The 11,209-nt window shown below is 40.5% G+C and overlaps 1 protein-coding gene across 11 annotated transcripts in view, besides 1 other annotated feature; it reads left to right on the forward strand.

Annotated features, from left to right (window-relative positions):
• ZDHHC13 (zDHHC palmitoyltransferase 13) overlaps nt 1–7,618 on the forward strand; it is a 59,312-nt gene extending 51,694 nt beyond the window's left edge. For 10 of the 11 annotated variants that reach the window (XM_011520195.2, NM_019028.3, XM_047427141.1 and 7 more), the window contains 3 exons: nt 1,614–1,771; nt 3,926–4,023; nt 7,025–7,618. In XM_011520195.2, coding sequence (XP_011518497.1) covers nt 1,614–1,771; nt 3,926–4,023; nt 7,025–7,163 — 395 coding nt within the window. In that variant the 3' untranslated portion in view covers nt 7,164–7,618. Of the gene's footprint in view, nt 1–27; nt 172–1,613; nt 1,772–3,925; nt 4,024–7,024 lie in introns of those variants that run through there. The other variant, XM_011520194.3, reaches the window with a different exon arrangement.
• Nucleotides 3,740–6,192: an enhancer, noted in NCBI's record as "VISTA enhancer hs2144". NCBI's record gives its function as "enhancer in: hindbrain (rhombencephalon)[3/13]" and the evidence as "EXISTENCE:transgenic organism evidence [ECO:0001131][PMID:17130149]".
• Nucleotides 7,619–11,209: the final 3,591 nt, after the last annotated feature.

Below are 11,209 nucleotides of genomic sequence, written 5' to 3' on the forward strand. Positions count from 1 at the left end.
GCCTCCATCCATTTCATCTTTTGTAAGGTCTGTTTACAAGGTGGATAGTAAGTGACTCCAAAAGTGTCAGCATCCTACAAGTTACAGAAAGAAAGATTGTAGATTACCATCAGGAAGAACTCTGTAACTGTCAGAGCCATCTAAAGATGAAAACGTTTGACCTGGAATGATGTGAGTTCCCTACCATTAGCCACTGGCCAGCTGATAAGAATGTATTAGCACAAATTAAAGTGTTACATTGCATAAGATAATGTACGTGACAACTTGCTGTTGTATCTTTGATATTAAATCTGAAAACCAGTATTCTGAAAACTTCAGTGTGAGATCATGCTGTATTATCAAAAGAATTCCCAGAAGGGAGCAGTAGAAATCCATAAACTGAAAGAAAATAGATATTCTTTCCCAATCAACAGCTGTTTTCTCCACCTACTGTTGGAAATTATATTCTTTTTTGTGATATCAGGTGCATGGGATGCATCTTTCTTTGCCATCCTAATGAGATGCTCTAGAGAGAGTGTAATTTGCCTTAACTTGAACCTTGATTGCTACTCTGTGATGATTGCTCTTAGAATGCTTCTGGCATATATTCATGAAAGATGGTTGGGAATCAGAGACTTAAAGAGAAAAGAAAAGTAGATTTTTAGGATTTAAATGGACAGTTGACAGGAAAGTCATAGACTCATTTTCTTCCTGTCCCTGGAGTTCTTCAGAGCAGCATTGGGAAAATGTCCAAAACTGTTTATCAAATTGTCAGAGGCATTTATGAAACCTCAAGGTGCAAATCGACAGAATTATCTTTTAAAAATAATTCACCCTTTATGCATGGGCAGGGTGCCTGTAAAAGTCATTGGATTTACATAACCTTGAAGATCCGTTCCCTTGTTTCTGCTGCTTCCTGTGTGTATTTCTCCTTACTGCTGCTCCTAGCTACATGGGTTAGGAGGTTGATATGAAAGGCCATAGTAAAGTTCTTTAATTGGCACACCTGGGGAGAAACTGAGCTGTGACCATCTGAATCTTGCTCTATATTCTTTTCCCAGGTGTATCTGTCTTGTGAGTCCCTTCATCTGGCCTTTCTTCCTCTGCAGATTTAGTTATGGTGTCAGTGCAGAAGTATACCCATGCCCAGCTCCCTGCATGCTATTAGATTGTATTCTGATGATATCTAGGTGCTTGTGGGATATCTTGTGCCCACAGCAATGGCCTGTTCATCTGAATGCTTAATAAGAGTTTATATTCAGTCCTGTAATAGACCCATAGTTGCTATAAACATGAATAAGGTAGGGAGTGTTCTAAACAAATAATTAACTTCAGGCTAGTATATCTTATGCTGAATGCTGATTTTAGTAAAGATTTTACGGACCCTTTTTCTTTATTCCTTCACTGTTAACTACTTATACAGTGTTATCATAGCCTCAATTAACATTGAGCCACCATTTTGTCATCTTTAGTTTTTGAACTGTCATGTGGAAAATGAAATCCTAAAATTGAATCATGATCTGTGCCATACTTTCTCTTCTCCCTATATAGAACTGCAGTGATTTTATCTTCTTGGAGACTGATAAGTAGTTTATTGCCTTTTTTTTTTTTTTTTTTTTTTGGTGAATTCACAGATTTGTCCAGTCATTGTGCCACAACATTCAAAGAAGATGGATTATGGACTTACCTCAATCAGATTGTGGCCTGTTCCCCTTGGGTTTTATATATCTTGATGCTAGCAACTTTCCATTTCTCATGGTCAACATTTTTATTATTAAATCAACTCTTTCAGGTATTTATTTCTCTTCTTATAATGGCTTTGAGTAAAATTTCTAAAACTTGTAGTGAGACAGCCTTGAATTTAAAATCAGAAGATGCACATTCTGTTTTTACCTCTGTCACTGACTCTGTGGGTCTAGCCATGTCATTTAACCACACTTGAATTTCAGGTATTTTGTCTGTAAAATGAGGATAATAACGCCTGTCTACTACATTAAACCACAAGATGGTTTAAAGGTTAGCATAATAAATTATTAGAGTATGACCTAGGAGTTACCTAATCTGACCTCTTTATTTTACAGATAGAAGTACAGAAAGGTAAATTGAATTGCTCAAGGTCACCCAGTGTGTGGCAAAATCAGAACTGGAAACTTAGGTCTTCTGCCAGTCCCATTCAAGGGCTTTTTCCATTGTACAGTTAAATTATATGTTGTGTGTAAGCATAGTATAAACTGTAAACCATCATGCAAATGTCAGATGATTGTTTTCCCTCAGTTTTTCCAGCGCTGTTTGTTACCCTTATTACTATGCAGTGTTTAAATGGATGAGAGTGGTAAGAAATGAAAAATACATCACTAACCAGTGGTCATAGTAATTACATTTTCAGAGAAGGCCATGGCCATTAGAAAGTTCAAGCTCCAGGGCAGTAGTCACCTTCAGCTTTCTCCAAAGCTTTAGTCCCTTCCCTGCTGGCTTCCATCCCCTATGAGCCTAACCTAATTCTCATTATTGCTGTGTCCTGCCCATGTGGAATGGGCAGCAGGTGGTCATCAGTCTGAATCAATTACTGTAAGACCTCAGATAATTAGAGCATTACTCAACCAAAGCAAAGTATATTCCACTTTTATGGGAAAGTAATCAATCTCAAAATAATAATAATGATAATAATAACAAGAAGAGAAGGAGGAAGGGAGGGAAAAAGAAAGAAAGAGAAAAAAGAAAATGTTTAGGGATGAAACTGAGTTAATAATATTGACTAAACTGAGGTTTCCGAACATTCCTCTCACTCTCCTATCACTCTGACTTCAATAGACTCCAGCAGCAAGAATAGATACTAGCATCTGTGATTATTAGTATTATCATTTATAATACCTAGTATTTATAATGCTTTGAGACATTGTTTCTAATTATCTTTCTTTTTTTCTGGAATCTTAGAATAAGTACAAGTATATGAGATGATAATATCCTTAATTTTTTAGAAAAAGGTCAATAAGGCAAAAAATGGACTCAAAGTTTCAGATAATTTTCAAAAGGAAGAATTCAGAACAAAGCTGTTTTCTTAATGAACAAAACAATCCAGTTCTTCGGAAACGTTCATTTCCTGAGCGCTCTGGGTAGTCGTGGCTTTGACTGTAGCAAGTCAAGATGAGTGTCTAGGTTGTTGGTTAGGAGCATGGCTTTATTCTCACACTGACCAAGGAGTCAGTCCCAGCTCTCCCACTCTAAGCTGTGTGGCTTTGAATCAGTTACTTCATCTCTCTAATCCTCTGCATTAGGTATTTGATTTTATTTACTTATTTATTTATTTATTTTTTGAGACAGAGTTTCGCTCTTTCACCCATGCTGGAGTGCAGTGGCGGGATCTCGGCTCACTGCAACCTCCGCCTTCCCGTGTCAAGTGATTCTCCTGCCTCAGCCTCCCAAGTAGCTGGGATTACAGGTGCCCACCACTACGCCCAGCTAATTTTTGTATTTTTAGTGGAGACGGGGTTTCACCACGTTGGCCAGGCTGCTCTCGAACTCCTGACCTCGTGATCCACCCGCCTCGGCCTGCCAAAGTGCTGGGATTACAGGCGTGAGCCACCGTGCCCTGCCGCAGTTAGGTATTTTAAATAGACTATCTCAAATCCTTAAAATAATATGATGAGAGTGGTATGATGAGCTGCTTTACAGATAAGGAATTTGAGGTTTAAATGAGATAACTCTGTGAGTAGTTATGGTTTTTAATGATTTAAGAATTTTTAAGTTACCTTAATTCTCAGTCTTCCCCATGTTTTTGGAATTAAATGTTCTTTACTTCTGATTAACTTTTTCTTTGTCCCTTTTCAAGGAGATACTAAGGAGAACACACAAATTGAGATAATTGCACTGATACTGATCTTATATTGTTTTATTTATCTAAAAGTTGCACACTGAATGTGTGCAACCTTCCACCCTTCTTTTTCAGATTGCCTTTCTGGGCCTGACCTCCCATGAGAGAATCAGCCTGCAGAAGCAGAGCAAGCATATGAAACAGACGTTGTCCCTCAGGAAGACACCATACAAGTAAGCGAGACCTGTTTTGGATGCTGAGTCCTGTGGAAGATCCCTAGTCACTGGTTTCCTAAGCTGGTGCCACTACCCATGGCCATGCTGCTGTTCTGTAATTTGCCATCTAGTACAGTTGACCCCCCTTTTCTTAGAGAAGCTTTAGTGATGGGGTGAGTGGTAAAGTCGTGAGCCCCACGGTGGTAAGAATTCGAGAGTTAGTTTACTGGACACAGCACAAATAGTAAGTGACTTTGAAGTTTTGCCAAGGTGGGGAATCTCTCCAGTCAAGCCACATGGTCACAAGGTTGTTTGTTGCTGGCGTGGAGTTGATGTGAGATAATTAAGTGTATGGCTGAGAGAGCCAGCCACAGGGTGCTCTGTAGAGAGCGTTCACTTGTGTGCTTTGCCAGGATTTTCAGCCTGGCTTTCTATCACCACTAATTCTTCTAGCCCTATGTTGAATGTGCCCTCTTGTACCAGGGAGAAGCCAATTTTTCAGATTTGGATTTGTTCCCCCTGGAGCATTTGGTTGTATAAAACACGTTTTCAGTTGAAAATGAGAGTATGTATAGAAAGACCTTCGTCTTACGATATGAAAGATTGGGCTTTGAAGCTTATCTCCCTGCCACTTATGGCAGGGTCTTGGAAACTGGGAGTGCTGCAGAGGTGACCCAGAGCCCTCTGGGGATTTGAATGCTCGCTGCATATCTCATGAGCAGTCTATTTTAAAGCATGCTGTTGGTACAAGATGAAACTGTTAGGCTGTTAGACAAGGGGATCAGAGACTGGGATATAACTACAATGTGTATTTAGGAGAGGAGAGAAATTGACTTAACTGGGAAGAGGTGGCTAAAGCAATGGCGAGTGGAAAGGAGCGTAAACTTGTGATGATTGTTTCACATTGACAGTGATAATAAAATCCCTTTCTTTGTAGCTAAACCAGAGGAATAAATGTTTACTCCACTAAACTATGGAAGCCTGTGATAGAGTTGGAATTTGAAGCTGAGCCTTGAGAGATGTGGGGCAGGGCACAATGGAGTTGGGAGGGAGGAAGGGCATTCCAAGCCCTAGAGAAGAGTCTGAATAGAGGGACACATGAGAGCACTAGAGCACGTTTGCTGAATGATGGCAGCATCAACTAGAGGAACTCAAGGGAAAACCTGAGTCCCGCCCAAACCAAAGATTTTACTTGTTTTCCTCCCCTAAGTTACTTTTACTCAGTACAGTAGTCACCCTTTCTCCATGAGGGATATGTTCTAAGAACCCCAATGGATGCCTGAAACTGCAGATAGTACTGAACTCGGTATATACCATGTTATTTCAGTCTGATAACCCAACAGGCAGGTAGTGTAGACAGAGTGGAAACACCAGACAAAGGGATGATTTATGTCTCAGGCAGACAGAGCTGGATGGCGTGAGATTTCATCATGCTCCGCAGAACGGCATGCAAGTTAAAGCTTACTAATTGTTTATTTCTGGAATTTTTCATTTTAATATTTTTGGGCTGCTGTTGACCACAGGTAACTGAAACTGAAACCAAGGGGAAGGGGACACTACTCTAACTAGCTTTTGAACCAGGCCCTATACATTTCTAGCATGCATCCCCACTGCCAACCCATCAACTCCACATAGCCTTCTTCCCAGGAAGTTGCCCTCTGAGTAGTGTTGGTCCTTTACTGGCAGCAATGCCATCATCCCCATGCAGAACACAATCTTCTAAACAGCAACGCAGTCATCCTCATGGACAGGTGTGTTTTGTTGTGTGTAAGGGATTGGGTTAGGCACTTAAAAGATAGAGCATATGCGTAAAAATGAGCATTTCTCATAACTGGAATAGATAGTGGTACTTCCGAAATTTAATGGAGAAAAAATGATGCCTAAGACAGTGCAGTCAGGAAAGCTCCAGTGGAAATGTGGGTATTGGCCTGGGCCTTGAGAACTGGTAGGACTTGAAAGGATAAGGGGGTTCCTGAGCTAAGTGTAGAGCAGTGTGCGTTCCAGGCCCACGCATCTATGATCATGGGAAAAATAGAGCCAGAGTAGCTGGAGCAGGAGATTTATAAAGATGCACAGAGGAGCTAGAACTAGAGGGATACCTTATATAGAGCCTTGAATACAAAGAGGAGGAATGTTTATTTGAGCCTCTAGGCAGAGGAGTATCTTTAAAGGGTTTTGATTGGGAGGTGAGGGGCTATGACTATATCAGGGTTTTTGGAGGACAACAGTCTGCAATATGCAAGATGAATTAAAAGGAATTGAGACAGAGAATTCATTTAGAGAGTTACTTATAAGGTTTAGGGAGGCCGGGTGCGGTGGCTCATGCCTGTAATCCCAGCACTTTGGGAGGCTGAGGTGGGCGGATCACGAGGTCAGGAGATTGAGACCATCCTGGCTAACACGGTGAAACCCCGTCTCTACTAAAAAAATACAAAAAATTAGCCGGGTGTGGTGGTGGGCGCCTATAGTCCCAGCTACTCAGGAGGCTGAGGCAGGAGAATGGCGTGAACCTGGGAGGTAGAGCTTGCAGTGAGCCGAGATCACGCCACTGCACTCCAGCCTGGGTGACAGAGCGAGACTCCGTCTCAAAAAAAAAAAAAAAAAAAAAAAAAAAAGGTTTAGGGAAAATCCCATCTTGTTGATTACAGTTGTTCTGGCCTATGTGGCCTTTGAGGTAATCAAGGTCTGAATTAGGGAAGTAGGAATAGAAAGAAAGAAACTTATTGATGTCAGTGGCCAGTCCATTAAGTGGGGAATCCAAAATGAAGTGATGATGAAAAACCCAATTAAGTGGCTGAGCGAGCAGAAGCCAGGAAATCTCCAAATATAGATTCAGGTCCAGAAATAGGCTTCAGTTTTAAGGTACCAGAAGCCCAGGAACTATCTGATCTACCCCATCTACCCCTGGATTTCTGCAAGATGTTCAAAGGACATTGCATATTATAGATTCTCCATAAATGTTTGTCAAGCTACACAGGAAATATAGTAAGACATGTTCTCTTTTTTTTTTTCTTGGCAGTCTTGGATTCATGCAGAACCTGGCAGATTTCTTTCAGTGTGGCTGCTTTGGCTTGGTGAAGCCCTGTGTGGTAGATTGGACATCACAGTACACCATGGTCTTTCACCCAGCCAGGGAGAAGGTTCTTCGCTCAGTATGAAGAAAAGCAACCCAAAACTCTCAATCTGATTTGTTTTTGTTTATGTCGATGCCCTGTAGTTTGAAAGTGAAGTAAAGATTTAGAATTCACCTAAGTCCAAAGGAAAACACGTGGTTTTTAAAGCCATTAGGTAAAAAAAGTTCTCAATAAAGGCATTACAATTTTTTAGGTTTAGAAAGATGGACTTTTCTGATAAATCTTGGCAGACATCTAAAAAAAAAACCATATTTTTCACAAGAAAATGCAAGTTACTTTTTTTGGAAATAATACTCACTGATTATGGATAAAATGGAATATTTTCAGATACTATATTGGCTGTTTCAAAATAGTACTATTCTTTAAACTTGTAATTTTTGCTAAGTTATTTGTCTTTGTTGTATCTATAAATATGTAAAAAATATTTAAATAGATGTACCTGTTTTGCTTTCACACTTAATAAAAAATTTTTTTTTGTAGTTGAGACTTGGTTTCTGACACTTAACACTTCTAGAGTCTTAAATTAAGATGTACATAGGACACAAATTAGTTCACAATTCCAGGAATGAGTTGAGATTATGATTAATACCAGTAAGCAAGATTTAATTTGGTTTTTCATCTTACTTAGAAAATAGAACATAGAAAGTCTTAAATATTAATTACAACTTTACTTAGTACCCTCAAAATATTAGACTGATATGACTGTAATTACTAATTTCCCTTGTTCTACAGGAAATGCTAATTCAACTTTAGTATAGTATTTATACACCCCTGGGCATGGCACCTTCCTGCTGAATAACCTCCCTTGGGTTCCTGTTGCTCTTGGGGTAAAAGCAAAAATTCTCATTGTGACCTACAAAGCCTTGAAGCATATAATCCTGTTTTGTTTAGCAGTGTCAGTGGAGCATGTTGTACTCTAATCATGTGGCCTTTCATTGCAAGGATCCGTTCTCTCTTCTACCAGAGATAAGAGATGCAGATAAGGAAACTAAAGCCAAAGAAGTTTTTATCTTCTCCAGGGTCACAGAGATACCAAATGGGGCTGCCACTGTACAGTCACAGTCACCTAGAATATCACGTGACACATAGTATTTGTTCAAAAAATATTAGAATTTGTTGAACCAATTTCAGGGTTTTAAGCAAGAGATGATGCTATCAGAATTGTGTTTGAAGACTGTGCTTCTCAATTGGAGTACAGAAGAGCTTTTTCAAGGTATATTCTCTTTCTCCCTTCTTCTCTCACCAACTCCTACCAAGTTAGTATTGTGGTCCAAATGGTCCAGAGACATTAGATCAGAGTCACAGGGCCAGGGTGGGTGTCTAGGGCTCACAGTTTAAAATTCAGTTTCTCCATCTCAGACCTTTCAAATCAGTCTCTAGGGAGAGAGTGCTGGAATCCTAATGATTCTTACATATGCATACTACTGTTTGAGAATCATTTACTTAAGGAACCTTACCTTCTCCATTCTATACATTGTGAAAAGTTTAAGCTTGAGAATCACTGCTTAATAGGTATGCAGTTGTAGTGGTAAAGAGACCAGATTCTAGGGACCCTGGGTTTGAATCTATGACCTATTAATTACCACATAAGTTACTTTTAATCCCTTTGGGCAAATGACATAAATCTCTAGAAACTCAGTTTCCTCATTTGGATTATGTAGATAATAATAGTAAACAATTTGAAATGTCATTATGAGAATTAAATGTGTTAATGTTTAAAAGTGCTTAGAATTGTACTTGGCATATAGTAAATGTTCAATAAATGCTGGCTATTAATTGAGAAGTCTAACAGAAAACTGATTACCAGAAAGATAAGCTAGAGGTAGAGAAATGCACCAAATCCAGTCTTCCGTGCTCTGTGTTGTATGTTCTAGGGCTAGAATTCTGCAAGCTACAGTCTCCCTGCCAGATGACTTCCTGTTAAAGTCGGTAGTAGACTGCAAGGAGGAGCAGAAAAGGGACTTATTCCATTCTTCTTGCCCGCTCTTCCTCTCAGTGTTGCTCCAACGATGGCCCTTTGCCCTGCAATGACATTTTGGAACCAATGTCTAACTTTTCTTCTTCCCAAAACCTACTTCATTGTGCCCCATTAGAAGTACTAGCAATAACCAGGCAGGGCTCTCTCCTTTGACATCTGACTTCTGCCCCGGGATACTTCTTCTCTGGGCATCTGAATTATGATAACCCATCTCTTCTCTTAGTTTCCCTATTCCCAGGAGTGATAGCTGCCTCTAGCAATTACTATCTCTATGTTAAATCAGTGTGTTCCCTTGTTACTTTTTCAAAAATAATAGCACCTGTTTAGCTAATTCCCTTTACTATATTCTCTTTATTAAAATAACTAGTGTGGTTTCTGTTTTTCTGGTGAAACTTGACAGATACAGAATATTAGAAATAAGCTGTTAATGATGGTCTAGGCAAGAGGTAATGAAGGCCTGAAGCAAGATGATGACAGTGGCACAGAGGAGACCCAGCAGGCCCAGATCACAGAGTGGATGCGGGGAGAAAAAGAGGAGTCAAAGATGGCTTTGAAATGTTGAACCCAATGAATGAGAGGTTGAAGATGCTACTCTGAGAAATAAGGAACACAGTGTGGGGAGACTAGGTGATGAGTTTGGTGGCTGGGATCTACTGAGTTTGAGATACTTGCAGGCTATCCAGTGGGAAAGTCTAGAAGGCAACTGGAAAGAGGCCAGGGCATGGATGGGAATCATCTGCATAGATGGATAAGATTGTCACAGGGGAGAGGTAGGAAATAGATGAAAATGGAGAGTCACCTTCCTCAAATGGAAAGATGAATGCTAAAAAGATACCAAAGATGACATCTAATGCGAACAAACAGACTAAAAAGTGTGAGAGGAAGGAGAAGGGCAGGAGCAAAAGCTTATGGAATATGGATTTAGGGAGCTGGAGAAGGAAGAAGTAACTAAAAGGAGATCGAGTAGGAGGACAAGAAAGTAGTGTCAGCCAGACACAGTGCCACTCCTGTAATCCTAGCACTTTGGGAGGCCGAGGTGGGCAGATCACCTGAGGTCGGGAGTTTGAGACCAGCCTGACCAACATGGAGAAACCCCATCTCTACTAAAAATACAAAATGAGCTGGGTGTGGTGGCACATTCCCGTAATCCCTGCTACTCGGGAGGCTGAGGCAGGAGAATCGCTTGAACCTGGGAGGTGGAGGTTGCGGTGAGCTGAGATTGTGTCACTGCACTCCAGCCTGGGCAACAAGAGGGAAACTCCACCTCAAAATAATAATAATAATAATAATAATAGTGTCATAGAATCAAGAGAGGATTCATTTCAGAGAGGAAGCAGTCAGTTGGCAGGAACTAAGGAGCAGCTTGAGCAGAAGTTGAGAATAGCTGATGAAAGACAAAAGAGTTTGTGATTAAGAGGTTATTAGTAGGGCCGGGCGCGGTGGGGATTGGCAAATCACTTTAGGCCAGGAGTTCGAGACCAGGCTGGCCAACATGGTGGAAACCCCATCTCTACTAAAAATACAAAAATTAGCCAGGCATGGTGGTACACACCTGTAATCCCAGCTACTCAGGAAGCTGAGGCAAGAGAATCGCTTGAACCCAGGAGGCAGAGGTTGCAGTGAGCTGAGATAGTGCCATTGCACTCTAGCCTGTGCAACAGAGAGAGACTCCATCTCAAAAAAAAAAAAAAAAAGAGGTTATTAGTGGCCTCAGTTATTAGTGGTGGTTGAGGATGGAGAGTAGAGGCAAGGAAGACTAAAGAGTCTAAAAGACTAAGGACTAAGTGGAATCTAGTCTTACAGCTTGGCTCTGAAAGGAGAGAGGAGACGGCAGTAGCTTGTGGCATAATAGCAAGGTTTAGTCTTTGTTTTATTTTAAATCCAAGACAAACCCAATCATGTTTTTCAGGGCCAGGGGAATGTGACTGTTATGCTATTTTGCCATAACTTTATTCCTTTCTTCAAATATGTATATAGCCACATTGGAGACAACAAATTTGAATCTCTTTCACAAATATCAGGCAAAATCTTGATCATGCCCCCTGTGACTTAGGATGGACGCTGGCACCATGAGTGGAATCACTTGGATGTA

This window comes from Homo sapiens, chromosome 11 (assembly GCF_000001405.40).
Source record: "Homo sapiens chromosome 11, GRCh38.p14 Primary Assembly".
Taxonomy (NCBI): domain Eukaryota; kingdom Metazoa; phylum Chordata; class Mammalia; order Primates; family Hominidae; genus Homo; species Homo sapiens.